This window comes from Homo sapiens, chromosome 3 (genome assembly GCF_000001405.40).
Source record: "Homo sapiens chromosome 3, GRCh38.p14 Primary Assembly".
Lineage (NCBI taxonomy): Eukaryota > Metazoa > Chordata > Mammalia > Primates > Hominidae > Homo > Homo sapiens.
The window spans coordinates 156,265,764-156,292,203 of NC_000003.12; the positions used below are offsets into that span (position 1 = coordinate 156,265,764).

The following is a 26,440-nucleotide window of genomic DNA, read 5'->3' on the forward strand; positions in this document are numbered from 1 at the left end:
GTGGGCGGATCACGAGGTCAGGAGATTGAGACCATCCTGGCCAACATGGTGAAACCCCATCTCTACTAAAATACAAAAATTAGCTGGGTGTGGTAGCTCATGCCTGTAGTCCCAGCTACTTGGGAGGCTGAGGCAGGAGAATTGCTTGAACCCAGGAGGCGGAGGTTGCAGTGAGTCGAGATTGCACCACTGCACTCCAGCCTGGTGACACAGCGAGATTCTGTCTCAAAAGACAAAAACAAAAAACAAAAAAAACTGTGAATATAAATAATATCCTAAACTTTTCCCAAAACTGACCAACCACCTCCCCTTGGAATTTAGTGAGCAGATTAAGCTTAAGCTTTATGCCTCTCTTCAAATCTTCTCCTACATTTGATTTTAGCTCATTTTTTTCCCCATTGTTCCAGCCCCTTCCTCATTCCTACCCCTCTGCCAATATTCTGAACATCTACACAGAAATACCATACTGCATTACTCCCATTTTCTCTCCTTCATTACTATAGAACTATGTAAAATCAAGTAGAGGGAAGGGCAAAGAATAAAAGCAAAAAACTGGGGACACACTAATGTTATTAGAGATAACGTAGAAATCTTAACATAATGATTCAATTTCTACATAGACTATTCCCATCCAGTTATGTCACTATCCCAGAGGTTGGTTTAAATCCCTTTTTTCATTCAATAGGAATTCAAAAAGCACCTCTCTGCACAGCTGTGTGATAGATTGAGAAATGTCCTTTGCTCCCAAGGAGCTCAGTTCACATTACCTTGATTAACTATGGACTAAAGCTTCTCTTTTCTTTACTAGAGGCCAACTATAGAGAGGGTTAAAAAGCCTCAGTTATTAGAATTCACAAAGTCACTATTGCATAAAATTCCTTTAATATTCCATGCATAATTATTGCTGTCCTTAGTGGATCAGACCACTCCCTGCCTGACTTCTCAACAGTAATCCATATCAGATCTATAGAGAATCAGTTACACAGTGATGTGACTTGGTAAATTCTTCCACATCAGTCAGCAAAGCTCAGCGGTCATATTCTGGATAGTCTGTCCCCAGATGCTTGTTTATTATAAAGTAAACTGAGTCTGCCCAGTGAAATTTATCCCACATTACTAGATGTGGTGAAATAAACAGAAAAAAGTCATTGGTCTTCCCTTCAGAATATGTAGACCTACAGGCTCCCCATTACAGAAAGCATTATTTCTTTTTTCTAGGTATGACTTTCTTTGGTTCCAAATGCAAAAGTGATATGTACTCAAGCAGAAAAAAAAAATACAATACTAACAAAATAAAGGCACTAAAAATTGCCCCTAATCCCAGTATCCACACAGATAACTACTGATAATATTTCGGTATATAGTATATCTTTTTTTCTCTGCAGAGATACTTTTTGCCTATGTCAAAACAGTGTTACACTGTACATATTATTTTGCGGGCTGCTTTTTCAGCTCATAGTGCATAGTGAACATTTTCCCATTATATTCATGTTAGAACTGGCAGTAGAAGCATCGTTCTTCCTTTAACAGATTTTACCTTATGGCTGGCTGACTCTAGTTATCTCCTCCTGGTCTTCCTGCTTTGAGTCTTTTACACTCCCTGGCCACCCTATGCCTGTTTACAAGATTGATCTGCCTAAAATACTATTTGTACCCTTGACCCCCAACCAGAATCCTTGATACAACTTTTTCCTTCATTCTGCCCCAATTGCCTAGAGGGAGGAGTTCTCACCTAGCCCTTTATTCCAGGCTGTCCTCAACAAGTCCAAGATGATTTATGTACATTGTTTTGCATCACTTATTACATAAATCCTTTGTCTAAATGAGTTTCCATCCCACATGGTTTGCTCATTATTCCCTGATAGACAACTCAACCTCCCCATTGAAGCCGCTCTATCTGCTGGTAGAGTCTTCCTCTCCTATTCTCTATCTTTGCCCAGGTTCTTTTCTGCCCTTACTGCCCAGATGTTTTCTTTGCTTTTTAATTTTTTTAAAAAAATTTTATGGGTACATAGTAGGTGTATATATTTATGAGGTATATTGGATATTTTGATACAGGCATGCAATGTGTAATAATCACATCAAGGTAATCACCTTGAGCATTTATATTTTGTGTTACAAACAATCCAAGTATACTCTTAATTATTTTAGAATGTATAATTAAATCATTATTGACCATAGTCACCTGCTTTTGCTATAAAATACTAGATCTTCTTCATTCTTTCTATTTTTTTTAATCCATTAGCCACCCCCACTTCCTCCCCACCCCCCATTACACTTCCCAACCTCTGGTAACCATCATTCTATTCTCTATCTCCATGAGTTCAATTGTTTTAATTTTTTGATCCCACAAATAAATGAGAACATGCAAAGTTTTTCTTCCTGTGCCTGGTTTATTTCACTTAACATAATGACCTCCTTGTTGCAAATGATAGAATCTCTTTATTTTTTATGGCCGAATAAAATTCCATTGTGTATGCGTGCCACATTTTCTTTATCCATCTATCTCTTGATGGACATGTAGGTTGCTTCCAATCTTGACTATTGTGAATAGTGCTACAATAAACGTGAGAGTGCAGACATCTCTTAAATGTACTGATTTCCTTTCTTTTGTGTATATCCCTAGCAGTGGAATTGCTGGATCATATAGTAGCTCTATTTTTAGTTTTTTGAGAAACCTTCAAATTATTCTCCATGGTAGTTGTACTAATTTACATTCCCACCAACAGTTATAGGGGTTTCCTTTTCTCCACACCCTCTCCAGCATTTGTTATTGCCTATCTTTTGGATAAAAGCCATTTTAACTGGGGTGAGATGATATCTCGTTGTTGTTTTGATTTGCATTTCTCTGATGATCAATGATGTAGAGCACCTTTTCATATACCAGTTTGCCATTTATATGTCCTCTTTGGAGAATCAGATATTTTGTCCATTTTCAAAATCAGATTATTATAATTTTTCCTCTAAAGTTGGTTGAGCTTCTTATATATTCTGGTTATTAATCTGTTGTCAGATAGATAGTTTGCAAATATTTTCTCCCAGTATCTCTTCACTTTGTTGGCTGTTTACTCTGCTATGCAAAAAGCTTTTTAACTTGATGTTATCCCATTTGTCCATTTTTGCTTTGGTTGTCTGTGTTTGTTGGGGTATTACTCAGGAAATCTTTGCCCAGTCCAATGTTCTGGAGAGTTTCCTCAATGTTTTCTTGTAGTAGTTTAATAGTTTCAGGTCTTAGATTTAAGTCTTTAATCCATTTTGATTTGATTTTTGTACACAGAGAAAAATAACGGCCTAATTTTATTTTTCTGCATATGGATATCCAATTTTCCCAGCACTATCTATTGAAAAGACTGTCCTTTTCCCCAATGAATGTTACTGGTGCCTTTGTCAAAAATAACTTCACTGTAGATGTATGGATTTGTTTCTGGGTTCTACATTCAGTTCCATTGGTATATATGTCTGTTTTTGTGCCAGTACAATACTGTTTTTGTTTCAGGAGCATATTGTTTAATTTCCATGTGTTTGTATAGTTTCCAAAATTCCTCTTGTTGTTGACTTCTAGCCTTATTCAATTGTGGTCAGAAAAGATACTTGATATTATTTCAGTTTTTTGAATATTTTAAGACTTGTCTTGTGGCCTAACATATGCGTATTGTCTATCCTTGAGAATGATCCATGTACTGGCAAGAAGAATGTGCATTCTGTAGCCATTTGATGAAGTGCTCTGTAAATAACTATTAGGTACACTTGACCTATAGGGCAGATTAAATCTGTTTTTTCTTTGTTGATTTTTTTGTTCTAGATGATCTGTCCAATGCTGAAAGTGGGGTGGTGAAGTCTTCAGATATTATTTTAGTGCTAATAATGTTTATTTATATATCTGGGTGCTCCAGTGTTGGTTGCATGTATATTTACAATTATTGTATCTTTTTTCTGAATTGACTCCTTTATCATTATGTAATGACCTTTGTCTCTTTCTATAGTTTTTGTCTTGAAAAGTTATTTTGTCTGATACAGGTGTAGCTACTCTTGCTCTTTTTTGGTTTCCATTTGCATGGAGTATCTTTTTCCATCCTTTATTATTTTCAGTCTATGTATGTCTTTATATATGAAGTGCATTTCTTGCAGGCAACAGATGACCGGGGCTTGCTTTTTTTTTTTTTTTTTTTTGAGACAATGTCTCACTCTGTCACCCAGACTGGAGTGCAGTGGCACAATCTCGGCTCACTGCAAGCTCTGCCTCCTGGGTTCGCGCCATTCTCCTGCCTCAGCCTCCTGATTAGCTGGGACTACAGGTGCCTGCCACTACGCCCAGCTAATTTTTTGTATTTTTTAGTAGAGACGAGGTTTCACCGTGTTAGCCAGGATGGTCTCGATCTCCTGACCTCGTGATCTGTCCGCCTCGGCCTCCCAAAGTGCTGGGATTACAGGCGTGAGCCACTGCGCCCGGCCATATCTTTTTTAATCCATCGAGGCACTCTATGTATTTTGACTGGAGAGTTTAGTCCATTTACACTAAATGTTATTATTAATAAATAAGGGCTTACTCCTGCCATTTTGCTATTTTTTTTTCTAGTGGTTTTGTGGTCTTATCTTCCTTCTTTTCTTTTTTTCTGTGTTCCTTTTAGTGAAGGTGATTTTCTCTGGTGGTATGTTTTAATTTCTTGCTTTTTATTTTTTGTGTATCTGTTGTATGTTTTTAGATTTGAGGTTACCATAAGGCTTGCACTTAATATCTTATAACTCATTATTTTAAACTGATGACAATTTAACTTCGATTGTATAAACAAACTAAAAAACAAGCAAAAAGAAAACTAATAAAACTATAATTTTGTCTCTCTGCTTTGTAACTTTTTATTGTTTCTATTTATATGCCATTGCGCTGTCTTGAAAAGTTCTCGTAGTTATTATTTTTAACCATTTCATCTTTTCATCTTTCTACTTAAGATATGAGTAGTTTATATACCACAATTACAGAGTCATAATATTCTGTGTACTTACTATTACCAGTGAGCTTTGTATCTTCACATGGTTTCTTATTGCTCATTGATATCTTTTTCATTCAGACAAAAAAAAAATTCCTTTTAGCATTTCTCGTGGGACAGGACTGATGATGAAATCTCTCAGCTTTTATTTGTCTGGGGAAGTCTTTATTTCTTCTGCATGTGTGAAGGAAATTTTCATCAGGTATACTATTTTAGGATAAAAGTTTTCTTTCCATCAACACTTTAAATGTGTCATGCCACTCTCTCTGAGCCTGTAAGGCTTCTACTGAAAAGTGTGCTGCTAGACATATTGGAGCTCCATTATATGTTATTTGTTTCTTTTCTCTTGCTGCTTTTAGAATTCTTTCTTTATTTTTGACCTTTAGGAGTTTGATTATTGAAGGTTTTGAGGTAGCCTTCTTTGGGTTAAATCTGCCTGGTGTTCTATAGCCTTCTTGTACTTGAGTATTGATATCTCTCTCTAGGATTGGGAAGTTATTTGTTATTATCCCTTTAAATACACTTTCCACCCCTATCTCTCTATCTCCTTTTTAGGGCCTATAACTCTTAAATTTGCTCTTTTGAGGCTATCTTCTAGATATTGTTGGTGTGTTTTATTCTTTTTTATTCATTTTCTTTTGTCTCCTTTGACTGTGTATTTTTAAATAGCCTGTCTTCTAGCTTATTATTTCTTTTTTCTGCTTGATCAATTCTGCTGTTAAGAGACTCTAATGCATTCTTCAGTATGTTAACTGCATTTTTCAACTCTAGAATTTATACTTGAGTATTTTAAATTATTTCAATTTCTTTGTTAAACTCATCTGATAGGATTCTGAATTCCTTCTCTGTGTTAGCTTGAGTTTCGTTGAGTTTCCTCAAAACAGCTATTTCAAATGCTCTGTATGAAACGTCAAATATCTGTCTCTCTCCAGGATTGGTCCCTGGTGCCTTGTTTAGTTCATTTGGTGACGTCATGTTTTTCTAGATGGTCTTGATGCTTGTAAATGTTCACCAGTGTCTGGGCATTGAAAAGTTAGGTATTTATCATAGTCTTTGCAGCCTGGGCTTGTCTGTACCCATCCTTCTTGGGAAGGCTTTCCAGGTATTTAAAGAGTCTTAGGTGTTGTGATCTAAGTTTGTGGTCACTGCAGCCATATCTGCATTAAGGGACCTCTCAGGCCAAGTAACACTGTAGTTCTTATAGACTTGTAGAAGTACTGCCTTGATGGTCTTGTATAAGATCTAAAAGAATACTCTGAATTAGCAGGCAGATACTCTTGTTCTCTTTCCTTACTTTCTCCCATACAGAGTCTGTCTCTCTCTGTGTGAGCTGTGTGGAGCTGGGGGAGGAGTGACACCAGCACCCCCGTGGCTACCACCACTGGGATTGTACTCGGTCTGACTTGGAGCCAGCACAGCACTGGGCCTTGCCCAAGGCCTGCTGTAATCACTAACTGGCTATTGCCTATGTTTGGTCAAGGGCCTCAGGCTGTACAATCAATTGGTGGCAAAGCCAGGCAGTTTTTTGTCCTTCCTTTCAGGGTGGTGGCAAGTTCCCCTGGGCCCCAGGTGGGTCCAGAGATACTGTCTAGGAGTCAGGGCCTGGAGTCAGATACCTTAGAAATCTAGGTGGCACTCTATTCTACTGTGACTAAGCTAGCAACAAAAACACAAGACAAAGTTTTTCCAACTCTTCCCTCCCCTTTCCCCAGGCAGACGAGTCTCGCCATGTTCACCACTACCACGGCCCTGTGTGCAATACTCCCGGGCTACCACCAGTGTTCCCTTAAGACCCAGGGGCTTTTCAGTCTGCTTGTGGTGAATGCTGCCAGGCCTGGGACTCTACCTTCATAGCAATGAGTTCTCCTCTGGCTCAGGGTAGGTTCAGAAATGCTTTCCAGGAGCCAAGGCCTGGAATTAGGGATGCCAAGAGCCCTCTTGGTGCTCCTCCCCACTGTCGCCAAGCTGGTACCTAAGCTGCAAGACAAAACCCCTTTTATTCTTCCCTCTCCTTTTCTCAAGCAGAAGGAATCTCTTCTCATAGCTGCCACTTCTGTGAATATGCTGGGTCACACCTAAAGCCAGCATGTCTCAGAGTCTTAACCAAGCCCATGGTGTATACTACCTGGTTACTGCTGCTGATTATTCAGGGTTCAAGGACTCTAGTCAGCAGGTGGTGAATCCTGCCAGGAGCAGTTCCTTTTCTTAGAGGCAACAGGTTCCATCCTAGCCCAGGGTTTGTCTAGAAATGTCATCTGGAAGCTAGGTCCCGGAAAGGGGGCCTTGCACCTCTGCCTGCTGCCCTATCTACCATGGCCGAGCTGATACCCTAGTTTTAAAACAAAGTTCTCTTTACTCTTCCCTCTCCTCTCCTCAAGTGAAAAAAAAAAAAACGGGTCTCTTTTGGAACTATGAGCTATGCTGCTTGGGAGTGGGGAAGGGGTGGAACAAGTACTCCCTTAGCTGCTCTGGCAGATGTCTAATTAGGTTACACGCCCTCCAAATCCACTGGCTCTGAGCACAGCATAGCATTCAGACTTGCCTAGGAACTGCAGGCTTTATGGCCTAGACTGCCTTTCAAGTTTATTTAGATCCCATAGCACTTTACCCCCTGGCAGTGAGGCTTGCCAAAAAGCAAGTTCCAACTGCTGGGATGGGTAATTCCCCTCTGGCTAGGCCTGGTCTAAATGCTCCTTCTGTGGGCATTGGCTGAGTCTGCCCAATGTAGCTTTCCGCTGTGACAGCACAGCACTGGGTTCCAATACACAGTTTTACAATTGCTGCACTCTCCCTCCCCTAAGCACACAGATGCTCTTTCCATGCCATGCAGCTGCTGCTGTGGGGTGGGAGAAGGGTGGCATCGGCAATTCACCGCTGTCTTTCCTACTCTCTTCACTGCCTTTTTCAGCGATATGAAGTTAAAACCAGGTACTGTCATCTCTCAGCTGATGTTTGGTTCTTAGGAAGGTGCTTTTTTTGTGTAGATAGTTGTCAGATTTGGTGTTCCTGTGGGGAGGATGATCAATGGAGGCTTCTATTCAGCTATCTTGCTCCACCTCCTCCAGATCTTTTCTGACATCACTGTAGTTTCTCTAACTGCCCCAACCCACAGTTGTCTCTCCCTCTTCCTCTAAAGTGTGTATCAGCTATTGCACTTATTCTGACGTGTAGAATATACAGCTAGTCATCCATGAATATCTGTGTACTCCCCAGGTAAGAAGTGAGTCCCATGAAAAGGGCTGAATTTTCCACCTTTTTTCCCTTACCAAGGTATAGAATTTGTCACCCAAGCAACAAAAAATGCATATGGATGTTGGCGATGACAAATATTAATAGCTGATTTAAGGATAGATGATACACAAAGAGGAAAAAACAAATGGACAAATAGAAAACAAAAGCATGGGGTAACTGATACATACCTTGAAAAATCCTCAACTACACACATGAACAACAACAATATCAATTACAACAACCACAAAACTATGCATGGGAAATAAACACCAAAACCAAGAAGACATTGAAAATCTGGATTACTTAATGACATTTTCTCCTTCTCTCTTCCATGTATCCCTGTTCCTGCCCTGCTCTGTAACCAAGTTTCACACATGGTTAAGAGAAATTACCTATGCTTTCTCAATTTTTCCATTAGGAACTTGTGACACCCTTATAATAAAATACTTATTTCATTTGACTTACAAGAGTAATTACATGGACATTGTAAAAACCAGAAAATACAGTACTTGGAGCATAAGGTAAGAACTTTTTTTTTTCTTTTAACTAGGAAATTTATTTGACAAAATCTTAATGACAGATTTGAAGGTTTTAAATAAAAAAATAACTATCTCTGTGATGTAGTCAAAAGTGTCTTTGAATATCAGTCAGGATACCTGGATGATGGCTCAAACTCTACCATTAAGTAGTTTTGTGGAAAGTTATTTAACATTTCCTGGGTTTTTGTTTTACAGATTTATCGTGGTATAATTGACAAGTAAAATTACGTACATTTAAGGTGTATAACTTGATGATTTGACATATGCATACATTGTGAAATAATCACCACAACCAAGGTAATTAACATATTTGTCATCTCACATAGTTACCATTTTTCTTTTATTTTTTTCTGGTGAGAACACTTAAGATTTAATTTCTTAGCAAATTTCAAGTATACAATGCAGTATTGTTAATTTCAGTCACCATGCTGTCTGTGGATCTCCAGAACTTAGCGATCTTGCGTAACAGAACCTTTGTACCCTTTAACTAACATGTCAACATTTTCCTTGTCCCAGGCTCCTGGCAACCATCATTCTACTCTCTGCTTCTATGAGTTTTACTATTTCAGATTTCATGTATAAGTGAGATCAGACAGTACAGGTATACTTTGAAGATATTATGAATTCAGTTCACACCACTAGAATAAAGAAAATATTCCAATAAGTTTGTTTATTTCCCAGTGCATATAAAAGTTATGTTTACATTACACTGTGTTCATATTAAATGTACAATAGCATGTCTAAAAAGTAATGTACACACCTTAATTTAAAAATACTTTATTGCTAAAAAAGTGCTAATGAATATCTGAGCATTCAGTGAGTAATCTTTTTGTTAGTGGAGGGTCTTGCTTTGATGTTGATGGCTGCTGACTGACCAGAATGGTGGTTGCTGAAGGATGGGGTGGCTGTGGCAATTTCTTAAAATAAGATGACAATGAAATTTGTCATATCAGTTGACTGTTCCTTTCATGAAAGTGTTCTCTATAGCAAGCAATGCTATTTGATAGCATTTTACTCACAATAGAACTTCTTTGAAAATTGGAGTCAATCCTCTCAAACTCTGCCACTGCTTGATCAACCAAGCTTACGGAATATTCTGAATCATTTGTTGTCATTTCAAGAATATTCACAGCATCTTTACCAGGAGTAGATTCCATCTTAAGAAACTACTTTCTTTGCTCATTCATAAGAAACAACTCCTTATCTGTTCATGTCTGACCATGAGTTGCATCAATTCTGTTACATCTTCTGCCTCCACTATTAATTCCAGTTTTCTTTGCTATTTCTACTGTATCTGTAGTTACTTCCTCCACTAGAGTCTTGAACCCCTCAAAGTCATCCATGAGGGCTGGAATCAACTTCTTTCAAAATCCTGCTAATGTTGATATTTGACATCCTCCTATAAATCACAAATGTTCTTAATGGCATCTAGAATGGTGAGTTTTTTTTTTCAAGAAGGTTTTAAGTTTATTTTGCCCACATCCATCATAAAATCACTATGTATGGCAGCTGTAGCCTTATGAAATGTATTTCCTAAATAATAAGACTTGAAAGTGAAAATTACTCCTTAATCCATGGGTTGTGGAATGGATGTTGTATTAGCAGGCATGAAAACAACATTAATCCCCTTGTACATTTCTATCAGAGCTCTTGGGTGACCAGGTGCATTGTCAATGAGTGGTAATATTTTGAAATATGTCTTTTTTTCTAAGGAGTAAGTCTAAGAAGTTGGCTTGAAAACATTCAGCAAACCATGTTGTAAACAGATGTGCTGTCATCCAGGCTTTGTTGTTCCATTTAGAGCACAGGCAGAGTAGATTTAGCATAATTCTTAAGGACCCTAGGGTTTTGGGATAGTAAATGAGTATTGGCTTCAGCTTAAAAGTCACCAGCTGCATTAGCCCCTATTAAGAGAGTCAGCCTGTCCTTTGAAGCTTTGAAGACCAACATTTACTTCTCCTCTCTAGCTATGAAAGTCCTAGATGGCATCTTCTTACAAAAGAAGGCTATTTTGTCTACATTGAAAACATGTTGTTTAGTGTTGTTAATAATTATCTTAGCTAGATCTTTTGGATAAGTTGCTGTAGCTTCTATTTAGTACTTACTGCTTCACCTTGCACTTTTATGTTATGGAGATGGCTTCTTTCCTTAAAACTCATGCATCAACCTCTGCTAGCTTTAAACTTTTCATCTGTAGCTTTCCCACCTCTCTTAGCCTTTTGAATTGAAAAGAATTATGGCCTTGCTCTGGATTGTGCTTTTTATTAAGGGAATGTTGTGGCTGGTTTGATCTTCTATCCAAACCGCTAAAACTTTTTCGCTATCAGCAATAAGGCTCTTTTGCTTTCTTATCATTTATGTGTTCACTAGATAAGCACTTTTAATTTCCTTCAGGAATTTTTCCTTTGCATTCACAACTTGGCTGTTTGGCAAAAGTGGCCTAGCTTTTGGCCTGTCTAGGCTTTTGACATGCCTTCTTCACTAAGCTTAATAATTTCTAGCTTTTGATTTGAAGTGAGAGATGTGTGCCTCTTCCTTTCACTGAGAGGCCATTGTAGGGTAATTAATTGGGTTGATTTCAATATTGTTGTATCTCAGGGAATAGAAAGGCCCAAGGAAAAAGAGGGAGATGAGGGAATAGCTGGTTGGTAGAGCACTGAGAACACACACAACATTTAACAATTAAATTTGCCATCTTATATGGGTACAGATTGTGGCACCCAAAACAATGACAGTAGTAACATCAAAGATCACTGATGATAGATCACCATAACAGATGTAATAATAGTGAAAAGTTTAAAATGTTGTGAGAATTACCAAAATATGACACAGAGACATGAAGTGAGTGTATGCTATTGGAAAAATGGCACCAGTTGACTTGCTCCATGCAGGGTTGTTCACAACTTTTCAGTTTATAAAAAATGCAGTATGTGTGAAGTGCAATAAAGCAAAACACATTAAGATGAGGTATGCCTGTATTTGTTCTTCTGTTTCTAGCTTTTTTCACTTAGCATAGTGTCCTCCAGGTTCATCTGTGTTGTTGCAAATGGTGGAATTTTCTTCTGTTTAAGGGCTAAATAATATTCTATTGTATATATACCACATTTAAAAAAACCCATTCATCCATTGAGAGGCACTCAGATTGCTTCCACATCTTGGCTATTGTGAATAGTGCTGCAACAAACACAGGACTGCAGATATCTCTTCAAGATGCTGATTTCATCTCCTTTGGGTATATACCCAGTAGTGGGATTGCTGGGTTACTTAGCAGTTCTATTATTAGCTTGCTGAAGAACCTCCATATCATTTTTCCATAGTTGGGCGTACTAATTTACATTCCCACCAACAGTGTACAAGAGTTCCCACATCCTTGCCAATACTTGTTATCTCTTGTCCTTTTGATGGATAGCAACAGGTGTGAGGTGATAGAACATTTATGTTCCCAAAATGCATTTCATTTTACCTGTGATGAAAAGCTGAGGGCGTCTCCTACATTAACTTTCTGTGATCTGACAAATTTAAGAACTTAACTGTTACAGAATTTCATAGGATCTTGGATCTGCCCTTTTTACAACATTCTTCCTTCAAAAATGAATGGAATAAAAAAGAAGTGAGAAAATACGCCTATTTATAAAAATATATTAGATGTTATGAGATAAAGAGACATGTAATAATGGCTTTTCTCACCCGAAGAAGATGAACAAATTTGAACAGAAACAAATAGATTTTGGCTTATTAACTTATTTCTTGAAAGACCTTCAGGTTAGATATTTTTCTCCATCCCATCATGCGAGGTTAGCTTTATGTGGGAAGCTCCTCCAGAGTCTGGTTCACTGTAGTTTTCAAGGGTGAAGATAAATGTTTATGTAACTCCACCTATAGAATAGTTACTTTTGAGTCCAATTAGACTAGCTTCACGAAGTCTATTTTTTCCCCCTTTCCTTTGAAATGAGATAATGGATGTGGAAGTTTTTAACACAGTGCTTGCAACATAGCGGGTGCTCAAAAAACATTTTCTTTTTTCCTTCCCTCCTTCATTTAATTTGTAGTATTTTAGATTTAAATTGCCATAAAATGAGAGTTCGTAATGTACCATTTTAGAAATCATCATAGTTCATCAATTCTCTGAAGCATATTTTTAAAATTTTGCTGAAATTGTGAAATCATTTTTAACTGCTGCTGGCCAGGCAGCTGTCATGATCTGGTTGCTAATGCCTGTAAGTGAGCATCAAAACTCGCAGAGTCGGTGTCACCAGATTGGAAAAAAGTCTCAGAGACAAAAGTTCAGCATGCTTTCAAAAAAAAATGCTACATCATCAACACAAAGGATGGCTGGGTGGAAAGACATGGACATTAATAATGCTCAGTAAAACATTCATAATTTCAAATTCTGAATGTAAACAAATTTGGGAATACTTTATTTTATTTTTTTATTTATTTTTATTTATTTTTTATTTTTATTATACTTTTAAGTTTTAGGGTACATGTGCACATTGTGCAGGTTAGTTACATATGTATACATGTGCCATGCTGGTGCGCTTCACCCACTAACTCATCATCTAGCATTAGGTATATCTCCCGATGCTATCCCTCCCCCCTCCCACCACCCCACAACAGTCCCCAGAGTGTGATATTCCCCTTCCTGTGTCCATGTGATCTCATTGTTCAGTTCCCACCTATGAGTGAGAATATGCGGTGTTTGGTTTTTTGTTCTTGCGATAGTTTACTGAGAATGATGATTTCCAATTTCATCCATGTCCCTACAAAGGACATGAACTCATCATTTTTTATGGCTGCATAGTATTCCATGGTGTATATGTGCCACATTTTCTTAATCCCGTCTATCATTGTTGGACATTTGGGTTGGTTCCAAGTCTTTGCTATTGTGAATAATGCCGCAATAAACATACGGGTGCATGTGTCTTTATAGCAGCATGGTTTATAGTCCTTTGGGTATATACCCAGTAATGGGATGGCTGGGTCAAATGGTATTTCCAGTTCTAGATCCCTGAGGAGTCGCCACACTGACTTCCACAATGGTTGAACTAGTTTACAGTCCCACCAACAGTGTAAAAGTGTTCCTATTTCTCCACATCCTCTCCAGCACCTGTTGTTTCCTGACTTTCTAATGATTGCCATTCTAACTGGTGTGAGATGGTATCTCATTGTGGTTTTGATTTGCATTTCTCTGATGGCCAGTGATGATGAGCATTTTTTCATTTGTTTTTTGGCTGCATAAATGTCTTCTTTTGAGAAGTGTCTGTTCATATCCTTTGCCCACTTTCTGATGGGGTTGTTTGTTTTTTTCTTGTAAATTTGTTTGAGTTCATTGTAGATTCTGGATATTAGCCCTTTGTCAGATGAGTAGGTTGCGAAAATTTTCTCCCATTTTGTAGGTTGCCTGTTCACTCTGATGGTAGTTTCTTTTGCTGTGCAGAAGCTCTTTAGTTTAATTAGATCCCATTAGTCAATTTTGGCTTTTGTTGCCATTGCTTTTGGTGTTTTAGACATGAAGTCCTTGCCCATGCCTATGTCCTGAATGGTAATGCCTAGGTTTTCTTCTAGGGTTTTTATGGTTTTAGGTCTAACGTTTAAGTCTTTAATCCATCTTGAATTGATTTTTGTATAAGGTGTAAGGAAGGGATCCAGTTTCAGCTTTCTACGTATGGCTAGCCAGTTTTCCCAGCACCATTTATTAAATAGGGAATCCTTTCCCCATTGCTTGTTTTTGTCAGGTTTGTCAAAGATCAGATAGTTGTAGATATGCGGCGTTATTTCTGAGGGCTCTGTTCTGTTCCATTGATCTATATCTCTGTTTTGGTACCAGTACCATGCTGTTTTGGTTACTGTAGCGTTGTAGTATAGTTTGAAGTCAGGTAGTGTGATGCCTCCAGCTTTGTTCTTTTGGCTTAGGATTGCCTTGGCAATGCGGGCTCTTTTTTGGTTCCATATGAACTTTAAAGTAGTTTTTTCCAATTCTGTGAAGAAAGTCATTGGTAGCTTGATGGGGATGGCATTGAATCTGTAAATTACCTTGGGCAGTATGGCCATTTTCACGATATTGATTCTTCCTACCCATGAGCATGGAATGTTCTTCCATTTGTTTGTATCCTCTTTAATTTCCTTGAGCAGTGGTTTGTAGTTCTCCTTGAAGAGGTCCTTCACATCCCTTGTAAGTTGGATTCCTAGGTATTTTATTCTCTTTGAAGCAATTGTGAATGGGAGTTCACTCATGATTTGGCTCTCTGTCTGTTGTTGGTGTGTAAGAATGCTTGTGATTTTTGTACATTGATTTTGTATCCTGAGACTTTGCTGAAGTTGCTTATCAGCTTAAGGAGATTTTGGGCTGAGACGATGGGGTTTTCTAGATAAACAATCATGTCATCTGCAAACAGGGACAATTTGACTTCCTCTTTTCCTAATTGAATACCCTTTATTTCCTTCTCCTGCCTAATTGCCCTGGCCAGAACTTCCAACACTATGTTGAATAGGAGTGGTGAGAGAGGACATCCCTGTCTTGTGCCAGTTTTCAAAGGGAATGCCTCCAGTTTTTGCCCATTCAGTATGATATTGGCTGTGGGTTTGTCATAGATAGCTCTTATTATTTTGAAATATGTCCCATCAATACCTAATTTATTGAGAGTTTTTAGCATGAAGGGTTGTTGAATTTTGTCAAAGGCTTTTTCTGCATCTATTGAGATAATCATGTGGTTTTTGTCTTTGGCTCTGTTTATATGCTGGATTACATTTATTGATTTGCGTACATTGAACCAGCCTTGCATCCCAGGGATAAAGCCCACTTGATCATGGTGGATAAGCTTTTTGATGTGCTGCTGGATTCGGTTTGCCAGTATTTTATTGAGGATTTTTGCATCAATGTTCATCAAGGATATTGGTCTAAAATTCTCTTTTTTTGTTGTGTCTCTGCCTGGCTTTGGTATCAGAATGATGCTGGCCTCATAAAATGAGTTAGGGAGGATTCCCTCTTTTTCTATTGATTGGAATAGTTTCAGAAGGAATGGTACCAATTCCTCCTTGTATCTCTGGTAGAATTCGGCTGTGAGTCCATCTGGTCCTGGACTCTTTTTGATTGGTAAGCTATTGATTATTGCCACAATTTCAGCTCCTGTTATTGGGCTATTCAGAGATTCAACTTCTTCCTGGTTTAGTCTTGGGAGAGTGTATGTGTCCAGGAATTTATCCATTTCTTCTAGATTTTCTAGTTTATTTGCGTAGAGGTGTTTGTAGTATTCCCTGATGGTAGTTTGTATTTCTGTGGGATCGGTGGTGATATCCCCTTTATCATTTTTTATTGCGTCTATTTGATTCTTCTCTCTTTTTTTCTTTATTAGTCTTGCTAGCGGTCTATCAATTTTGTTGATCCTTTCAAAAAACCAGCTCCTGGATTCATTAATTTTTTGAAGGGTTTTTTGTGTCTCTATTTCCTTCAGTTCTGCTCTGATTTTAGTTATTTCTTGCTTTCTGCTAGCTTTTGAATGTGTTTGCTCTTGCTTTTCTAGTTCTTTCAATTGTGATGTTAGGGTATCAATTTTGGATCTTTCCTGCTTTCTCTTGTGGGCATTTAGTGCTATAAATTTCCCTCTACACACTGCTTTGAATGCGTCCCAGAGATTCTGGTATGTTGTGTCTTTGTTCTCGTTGGTTTCAAAGAACATCTTTATTTCTGCCTTCATTTCGTTATGTACCCAGTAGTCATTCAGGAGCAGGTTGTTCAGTTTCCATGCAGTTGAGCGGTTTTGAGTGAGATTCTTAATCCTGAGTTCTAGTTTGATTGCACTATGGTCTGAGAGATAGTTTGTTATAATTTCTGTTCTTTTACATTTGCTGAGGAGAGCTTTACTTCCAAGTATGTGGTCAATTTTGGAATAGGTGTGGTGTGGTGCTGAAAAAAATGTATATTCTGTTGATTTGGGGTGGAGAGTTCTGTAGATGTCTGTTAGGTCTGCTTGGTACAGAGCTGAGTTCAATTCCTGGGTATCCTTGTTGACTTTCTGTCTCGTTGATCTGTCTAATGTTGACAGTGGGGTGTTAAAGTCTCCCATTATTAATGTGTGGGAGTCTAAGTCTCTTTGTAGGTCACTCAGGACTTGCTTTATGAATCTTGGTGCTCCTGTATTGGGTGCATATATATTTAGGATAGTTAGCTCTTCTTGTTGAATTGATCCCTTTACCATTATGTAATGGCCTTCTTTGTCTCTTTTGATCTTTGTTGGTTTAAAGTCTGTTTTATCAGAGACTAGGATTGCAACCCCTGCCTTTTTTTGTTTTCCATTTGCTTGGTAGATCTTCCTCCATCCTTTTATTTTGAGCCTATGTGTGTCTCTGCACGTGAGATGGGTTTCCTGAATACAGCACACTGAGGGTCTTGACTCTTTATCCAATTTGCCAGTCTGTGTCTTTTAATTGGAGCATTTAGTCCATTTACATTTAAAGTTAATATTGTTATGTGTGAATTTGATCCTGTCATTATGATGTTAGCTGGTTATTTTGCTCGTTAGTTGATGCAGTTTCTTCCTAGTCTTGATGGTCTTTACATTTTGGCATGATTTTGCAGCGGCTGGTACTGGTTGTTCCTTTCCATGTTTAGTGCTTCCTTCAGGAGCTCTTGTAAGGCAGGCCTGGTGGTGACAAAATCTCTCAGCATTTGCTTGTCTGTAAAGTATTTTATTTCTCCTTCACTTATGAAGCTTAGTTTGGCTGGATATGAAATTCTGGGTTGAAAATTCTTTTCTTTAAGAGTGTTGAATATTGGCCCCCACTCTCTTCTGGCTTGTAGGGTTTCTGCTGAGAGATCTGCTGTTAGTCTGATGGGCTTCCCTTTGAGGGTAACCCGACCCTTCTCTCTGGCTGCCCTTAACATTTTTTCCTTCATTTCAACTTTGGTGAATCTGACAATTATGTGTCTTGGAGTTGCTCTTCTCGAGGAGTATCTTTGTGGCGTTCTCTGTATTTCCTGAATCTGAACGTTGGCCTGCCTTGCTAGATTGGGGAAGTTCTCCTGGATAATATCCTGCAGAGTGTTTTCCAAGTTGGTTCCATTCTCCCCATCACTTTCAGGTACACCAATCAGACGTAGATTTGGTCTTTTCACATAGTCCCATATTTCTTGGAGGCTTTGCTCATTTCTTTTTATTCTTTTTTCTCTAGACTTCCCCTCTCGCTTCATTTCATTCATTTCATCTTCTATCGCTGATACCCTTTCTTCCAGTTGATCGCATTGGCTCCTGAGGCTTCTGCATTCTTCACGTAGTTCTGGAGCCTTGGTTTTCAGCTCCATCAGCTCCTTTAAGCACTTCTCTGTATTGTTTATTCTAGTTATACATTCTTCTAAATTTTTTTCAAAGTTTTCAACTTCTTTGCCTTTGGTTTGAATGTCCTCCCGTAGCTCAGAGTAATTTGATCGTCTGAAGCCTTCTTCTCTCAGCTCGTCAAAGTCATTCTCCATCCAGCTTTGTTCCGTTGCTGGTGAGGAACTGCATTCCTTTGGAGGAGGAGAGGTGCTCTGCTTTTTAGAGTTTCCAGTTTTTCTGTTCTGTTTTTTCCCCATCTTTGTGGTTTTTATCTACTTTTGGTCTTTGATGATGGTGATGTACAGATGGGTTTTTGGTGTGGGTGTCCTTTCTGTTTGTTAGTTTTCCTTCTAACAGACAGGACCCTCAGCTGCAGGTCTGTTGGAGTACCCTGCCGTGTGAGGTGTCAGTGTGCCCCTGCTGGGGGGTGCCTTCCAGTTAGGCTGCTCAGGGGTCAGGGGTCAGGGACCCACTTGAGGAGGCAGTCTGCCCGTTCTCAGATCTCCAGCTGCGTGCTCGGAGAACCACTGCTCTCTTCAAAGCTGTCAGACAGGGACATGTAAGTCTGCAGAAGTTACTGCTGTCTTTTTGTTTGTCTGTGTCCTGCCCCCAGAGGTGGAGCCTACAGAGGCAGGCAGGCCTCCTTGAGCTGTGGTGGGCTCCACCCAGTTTGAGCTTCCAGGCTGCTTTGTTTACCTAATCAAGCCTGGGCAATGGCGGGCTCCCCTCCCCCAGCCTCGCTGCTGCCTTGCAGTTTGATCTCAGACTGCTGTGCTAGCAATCAGCGAGACTCCGTGGGCATAGGACCCTCGGAGCCAGGTGTGGGATATAGTCTCGTGATGCGCCGTTTTTTAAGCCCGTCGGAAAAGTGCAGTATTCGGGTGGGAGTGACCCGATTTTCCAGGTGCGTCCGTCACCCCTTTCTTTGACTCAGAAAGGGAACTCCCTGACCCCTTGTGCTTCCCAAGTGAGGCAATGCCTCACCCTGCTTCGGCTCGCGCACGATGCGCGCACCCACTGACCTGCGCCCACAGTCTGGCACTCCCTAGTGAGATGAACCCGGTACCTCAGATGGAAATGCAGAAATCACCCGTCTTCGTCGCTCTTGCTGGGAGCTGTAGACCAGAGCTGTTCCTATTCGGCCATCTTGGCTCCTCCCCCGGGGAATACTTTAACCAATTTTTTTCTGTCGTATTTTCTTTTTATATATGTACAAGAGTGAAACTGGAGGGAGGCAGCGTGAGTTTAAAAAGATTCTTTTGATTAATTGAAAATAAACAAGGGATAAGAAAGCATTATGTCATAAGTGACCACATTTTTAATATTAGTGATATATAAAATAAATGTGTACTCGGGTTGATATTATTTTACAGTAGTTGAAATATAATAATTCCACTTATCTTTGAAAACAAATTCTCTGTGAGTTAAGGTCTTTAGATAAATCTCTTATCCAAAGACATGGCCAATATTTATGCCATCTTGTTCTAACATAAGACAATGGCAAAAATTATACTAATGACTAATAATTTAGGAAAAACTAATGACAGTTGTAAAAAATAAACTGACCATGTGTCCCTGTCTCCTCTCAGTGCTATGTCCAGGTTCCAGACAAGCTTATGAGAAGTTAACTACCATGAAGAGGCCTGAACAAAATAATCTGAATTGTGAATTTCTTTTTTTGGTGGGGGGGATGGGGGGGTCTCACTTTGTCACTAGGTTGAGTGCAGTGGCGTGACTCTTGGCTCACTGCAACCTCTGCCTCACAGGCTCAAGTGATCCTCCCACCTCAGCCTCCTGGGTGCCTGGGACCACAAGTAGGGGCCATCATGCCCAGCTAATTTTTTGTATTTTTTGATAGAGACAGGGTTTCACCATGTTGCCCAGGCTGGTCTCCAACTCCTGAGCTCAGTCAATCCACCTAAGCCTTGGCCTCCCAAAGTGTTGTGATTATAGGTATGAGCCACCGCACCCGGTCTGAATTTCCTATTTTTCACACTTGCTTCCTGTAACACTATGGCACCTTGCCTTGAGCATATAAAGTGTTATGTAAATATCAGAGGTCTGCTATATCAGAGTGTTCAAATTCAGGAAATAATCATTAGTGGCTGTAGATATAGTTTAAATGTTAATTGGAAAGCACACCTATCCTTTGATTAATTATGCTATGGTCCTGGACATGTGGCTGGTAGTGTGAGAAAATCTGTATTAAGCCTGCCTTCAGAGTTTCTCAGTGGAGGTTCTCTGGTGAGCCTGTTTTTCCAGGGAAGTAGGAGGGTAGACATCTGGAAGTTTGTTCTATTCAGCAGAGCCTTGATATTTCCAATATGGCTTCTCCATTTTACTTTGCCTGTTATTCAAAATGCTGTGCTCATGCAAATGTGGGCCCATACTAATTTTTATAGCTGGTTCAATTTCTCAGAATATAATAAATTGCTCTTCAAACCCATGTTTTAAGAATTTCTGATGAATAGCAAACTTGCATCCTAGAAATTCTTTTAATCACAAATGATAGGCACAAAAAGTGGCTTGCCATCTGTATACTCACATGTTTAAAATTCTTCTAATATTAGCATTCTTTTCTGTTTTGGATAAACCCAATTTTGCCTGGCTGCATAATTGAGTGTTTTCTGTCCCCTGTTGGCTGTGGTTTCCAATGGAATATAAACCGTAAATTCTGAGTGGACCCAGCAAAAAATGTTTGGTTCTGACTTTACTGGCAACAAATTGAATCAATCAATAACTTGCCAGGTGATAGGAAAAAAATTTTTTTAAGCAACAGGAATAAATTATCGTGAAGTATTTGAAAATGTTGGTAAAAGACATACTCAAAAGCATAGGTGATTTAGTTGTTCTAAAATCTTTAGTCTTTTTAAATGGAAATTATTTCTATCACTTATAAAAATATCGGGGTTTCTTTTAAACTATATTCATAAAGTGACATGATTTAAAGCCCCTCTCATAAGGAAGTTCTTGCAGTGGGGATCACTATGCACAGTGGGTAAGAACCAAGTCTCTGGAGGTAGGCTGCCTCAAGTTAAATTGTAGTGTGCCTGTGTCACTTTAGGCAAGTTATTTAACTTCTCTGAGTCTCATGTTTCTTCATTTGTAGAATGGGGTTGATAATGATAACACCTTTCCCAGAGAACCACGTTCTTGCACCATTTTATCTCTCTGAGGATACTGAGGCTTAGGGAGGTTAAGCATCCTGCTAAATGGCACACGGGAAGGCGGGGCAGAGTAGAGCTGGGATTCACACCCAACTCCAACTGACTGCACACCCTAAAGTCCTTTGAGTTACCATGAAGACTCTAAGATGAGCATGAGGAGACAGGGCACTGGCATAGGAGTTATGTAGCCTGTGATCTGTTCCTAACCAGTTCTGTCACCATGACCCAATATGGGAGACATTAATGCCAAAGAATTCCACATGTTACATAACAAATAGGGACCAGCTGAGACTCAGGCAAAGTGTAGGAGTAAGTCATTATTTGGCCCCGTGCAATGTTGCAACCTCCGTATCAAAAAAAAAAAAAAAAAAACTACCCCAGGGCGTCCACAAAACAAGAGGAAATCAGTTTTACGAAGTAATAAATCCTCTATATGGTGACTCTTGATAAAAGAAGTGGTGATTTTCAAGAACTTTATTATTAAATAATGACAACTATCGTTATCATTCACGCTATACATCCTATATACAATGTGCTCCAAAAAAGAGCTCCAGGCTGGGCATAGTGACTCACACCTATAATCCCCGTACTGTGGGAGGCCGAGGTGGGCAGATCAGGTCAGGAGTTTGAGACCAGCCTGGCCAACATGGTGAAACCCTATCTCTACTAAAAATACAAGGCGTGATGGTATACACCTGTAATCCCAGCAACTCAGGAGGCTGAGGCAGGAGAATTGCCTGAACCCAGGAGGCAGAGGTTGCAGTGAGCCAACAGCCTGGGTGGCAGAGTGAGACTCCATCTTAAAAAAAAAAAAAAACTCGAAATACAACTTTGTATATAGGTTGCATAGGGTGGAATAATAATGATAGTTATCATGATCTAATAACTTTTAGAGGCACCTTCTTCAGTGAGCTCCAATAGTTTCTTGCAAGCAATGATATAAGAACTAAAGTAAAAACAAACTGTGTCTATATCTGTATTAATTTGTTATGGCTGCTATAACAAAGAACCACAGACTAGGTGGCTTAAACAACAGAAAATTATTTCCTCACAATTCTGGAGGCTAGAAGTCCAAGATCAAGGTACTTGCAGCATTGGTTTTCTCTGAGGCTTTTGTCCTTGGCTTATAGACAGTCGTCTTCTCCTGTGCCTTCCCATCGTCTTCACATATCTGTGTCCTAATCTCCTCCTTCTATATGGACACCAGTCACATTGGGTTAGGGCCCACCCATATGACCTCACTTTACCTCAGTTACCTCTTTAATGTCCTATCTTAAAATACAATCACATTCTGAGGTACTGGGGGTTAGGGCTTCAACACATGAATTTGGAGGGAGCACAAGCCAGTTGAAAACAATATCTATATCTATATTTACACCCACATCTATATCTATGTTTGTGGGTCTTACTGAAACCTGAAATGATAGCAGTGAAGACTCTTCCCAATCTTATGATGTGACAATGAAAAGATACATATTCCAAGTCTAATTGACATGTGGCCTCTTAGCACAAACTTATTAGGAATGAGCGTTTTCTCAGCCAAGTGTTATCTAATTTCTGGGCTCCTGAGACCGACTGCTCCATTAACACTGGGAAGGGGAGCACGGCTGGGGGAAGCCACCAATCTGCTGGCTGGCAGTCAGAATGCCCATGTGGTATCAGATCTGAAAAGGTGCACTGTGGGCAGCCAGAAAGAGACTAGCACTGTGAGCATCCTCTGGCCTCAGGTCTTTGATTTTCTTTGAGGCATGTCCTAAAGGCTGGGACACTCATCTACACACAAGAGGTGCAGACATGAATGTGGGGCAATTATCCACTCCTTTCAAGTGAGCTGGCTGTGCTTAAACTAGAACGTGCAGGATTTTCTTTCTTTCTTTTTTTAAGGAATCAAGTTTATCCAAGAATATGGCATCTTCCCATCCACCTACCTTCCTTCCTTTCTTCCTCCCTCTTCCTTTCTTTGTTTTCTTATCTCCTTCTCTCAATTATTTATAGAGTGAGGGCCTGCTATGCACAAGGCACTCTGTGTGGTCCTATGGGGGATAAAAAGGTGACTAAGAGGCACTCTGCCTTGCATGTTTCATTCTAATAACCTACTCCCTGTTCTGCTGTTGGTTGTGCTTTCAGAAATTGCTCTGCTAGTTCTTGGCAAGGCTGAAAGCCACTTCAGCTAACAGCATCCAGACCTTCCCTACCTTCAAGATCTTCTGTCCTCCCTGTGGAACTGACAGCACTCCACCTCATCTCTGAGCCCCCCACACATCTCCTCAAGCTCAGCCAGTGTCCAAACTGAAGTTCCTGGCTCCTGACCCCTCTAGACGGATGATTATCCATTCACTCTGTCTCGCCTCCCAGACTGCTTTATTTTTTTCCTTTTCTGAGCTGTTCCTTCTGATTCCTCCCACTTCTTCCTCTTCTCATTTTGACTCCTTTCCCAATTCACATTGATCATCTCTGATGAGCCGGCTGAGTGTGAAAAAATAAAGGTTCTAATGATCTGGCTTCCTCTCTGCCCACTGTTGTTTATCCAGGGAGTAAAGACATGCTTCAAGTACTCCTCCCTCAGAGCTGAGAGTACAAGAAGGGGTCCCAGACTTATTTGTTCCTTTCCCCAACCCTCACTGATTCTAAAATTACTTCTCAATCACTGAACATTAGTCAATATGTTTATTTTTTAAAGTAAAGTGTGGGAAGGTTGTGGAGAGTGAATGATGAGATTCTATAATCTGATTTAAATCTTATCTGCAGGTTATAAAATGTTAAAATTCATGTTTGGAATAGAATGCAACACAGGCACATATTCTCCTTGAAAATTTTATTCCTGCAGTTTAATTTAGTTGGGAAGAAATGGTCAGACCAGCTATTTTTTTAATCACGTAGATAGATTGTGTGTCCTGTCCAAACCTGGCAACCCCTGGGATCACTGCCTTCTTCCTCTCCTGCTAATCAAATTCAACCCATTTTTCATGTACCAGGCAAAGTCCCACTCTTCTAGGAGGGTCGCCTGGGCACCCATGAGCTTCTTGAGGGCCCAGCCTCTGTTTCAGCCATCTTTGTGGCCCAGCAACAAGCAAAGTCAGGGACTTGGTAGAAGTGTGGGGAATGAATCAAAATGAACAACTTTCTCCAGTGTACTTTCTCTAGTGTACTTAGTGTCTGTGCCATCCATTCAGATATGTCATAATATGCCTTCCAACATTGTTAGTCAGACCCTTTAAGGCTGAATATTTTGTCCTTCCCTCCCAGATGGCCTGCTCCTTGAGGAGGGGGACAGTGCTTCCTTTTTTCTCCATATTGATCTTCATTGACTAATACAGTGATGGTATTCAGAAATATTGTTGCGTTAAATACTGGTTCTTTTTGCTTGACAGCAGTATCTGTTGGGAACTACATTTAGAAAGCTGATTTTGCAGAAGCCATAATTTTATTGTAAGTAAATCTGTGAGAGGGGTTTGGTTTCCATACATTTCAAATGGAAAGTAAATTACCAGCCAACTGATGCTTAGTTTGGTTCAGTCACATTTATTGAGCAATTGCTTTGCACCTGACATCAAACCAGAAAATATTCCTGCCTCATGTGGGTTCAGAGTCCCCAGGGATGTCCTACTGCCCACCTGACCTGGAGACAGGATATAGTGCTTGTCCTCACAGGTGGCCACAGATGATCAGTGGGCAGTGTATGTGGTTTCAGCCACATGCCTGGACCTTACTGGGTGGTACTATGGACCTGCTGCACACCTAGTGCATCCCCCTCCTGAGTGGTGCTGGATTGCTGCCCCTCCCCCATCCCAGTCCCTCCTCTGGTAGCCAGAATAAATTTTGCAGTAAGTTAGCAGAGTTGATTCCAAAAAGTCTGCACTGTGGCATCTCAGGAAACCAAACTTATCTGCTTAAGAAATAACTTGCAGAGAGAAAAGGAACTCTGACAAGGCTAATAACAGGGATTTCAAGCTGTGTTTCAGCAAGCCAGTCACAGAGTATTCACGTGTTAATTCACTGGCGTGTTCCGCGGCATAAGCACCCCCTCTCTGCCTTCCCCCAGTTCCAACTGTTGTGCTGCAGCAGATTTGGTCTGAGTCTGGGCAGAGCCCCTTTTTATGGAGCAACCCTCCCGATTTGTTACAGCAAGAGCCTGGTGCAAGTGATCTTTGCCTTCCCATCGCACACAAAGGCAAAGAGCTCCTTAAAGGGACCTGCCTGCTCCTCCGTGCAGCTGCAAACCCGTGTCGGTGCAGGCTCAGCAACCCAGGCTTTCGCTCGAGAATGAGTGGGGAGGGGTCTTGAGGAGCCCCCACGTCCTCCCGGAGCGGAGGCGGGAGGGAGCTGACAGCCGGAGTGGATGGAGACCACCAGTCCGAGGGGACCCGCTTGCGATTAGCTGCTTCTTGGGATGCTCCGCGCGCCAGTTGAGCATCCTGCCTGTGGTCCAGGGGATGCTGGCGGCGCATCTTGCGGTAAGCCTGCGCTGATTTGAGCCATCGCCCAGAAGCGAGCCCGCATTCAGACACCGCGGACCGGCTCCGCGAAGGGCTGCGTGCAGTCACCATGAATGCTCAGCTCTAGGCTTCTGTAAAAACCTCCCCCACTGCATGGATTTGGCTGTTTAATCAGCCGAGATTACAGCCCGGGAAGATTTGCAAACCTGATTCTCCCTCCAGCTGCTGTGACAACTTCGGGGCCGTCTGTTTACTTCTCTGGGTCCCCGGGGACTCTTTCCTGCATCGCAGCCCCTTGTGCCACTTTGTGGGCTTGGCTCGAAAGTCAGCCGCCAGGACTCCTCTGACGGCATCCCCAGGAAGGGGGAGCAAGGAGGGCTTAAAAGAAAAGCAGAAATCCCCGCAACTGCTCAACCTCTCGTGACTGCCTGTGTTCTGGGGTTCTGAGAGGGACCGTGCGCTGCCTGGGGAAGCAATGCAAGTCTCCATAGCCTGCACAGAGCACAATTTGAAGAGTCGGAATGGTGAGGACCGACTTCTGAGCAAGCAGAGCTCCACCGCCCCCAATGTGGTGAACGCAGCCCGGGCCAAATTCCGCACGGTCGCTATCATCGCGCGCAGCCTGGGGACGTTCACGCCTCAGCATCACATTTCTCTCAAAGAGTCCACCGCAAAGCAGACTGGCATGAAATATAGGTATGCACGTAAGATTCCCTCTGTGCGGGGTATCCAGGTTCTATACAGGTGCAGTGGAGACAGTCCATCGGTTTT

General features: G+C 40.6%; 1 protein-coding gene across 7 annotated transcripts in view, besides 2 other annotated features; it reads left to right on the forward strand.

The window, feature by feature from the left end:
- KCNAB1 (potassium voltage-gated channel subfamily A regulatory beta subunit 1) overlaps positions 1–26,440 on the forward strand; it is a 420,928-nt gene that overhangs the window by 147,553 nt on the left and 246,935 nt on the right. The window contains exon 1 of one of the 7 annotated variants that reach the window (NM_172159.3): positions 25,224–26,365. The exons of 5 other annotated variants lie outside the window; for them this stretch is intronic. In NM_172159.3, coding sequence (NP_751891.1) covers positions 26,145–26,365 — 221 coding nt within the window. In that variant the 5' untranslated portion in view covers positions 25,224–26,144. Of the gene's footprint in view, positions 1–25,223; positions 26,366–26,440 lie in introns of those variants that run through there. One more of the 7 variants, NM_001308222.1, reaches the window with a different exon arrangement.
- Positions 18,359–18,942: an enhancer, noted in NCBI's record as "H3K27ac-H3K4me1 hESC enhancer chr3:156001911-156002494 (GRCh37/hg19 assembly coordinates)". NCBI's record gives its function as "activates a minimal SCP1, AML or CMV promoter by ChIP-STARR-seq in primed H9 embryonic stem cells {active_cell/tissue: H9 hESC(primed)}" and the evidence as "EXISTENCE:reporter gene assay evidence [ECO:0000049][PMID:30033119]".
- Positions 25,136–25,892: an enhancer, noted in NCBI's record as "H3K4me1 hESC enhancer chr3:156008688-156009444 (GRCh37/hg19 assembly coordinates)". NCBI's record gives its function as "activates a minimal SCP1, AML or CMV promoter by ChIP-STARR-seq in primed H9 embryonic stem cells {active_cell/tissue: H9 hESC(primed)}" and the evidence as "EXISTENCE:reporter gene assay evidence [ECO:0000049][PMID:30033119]".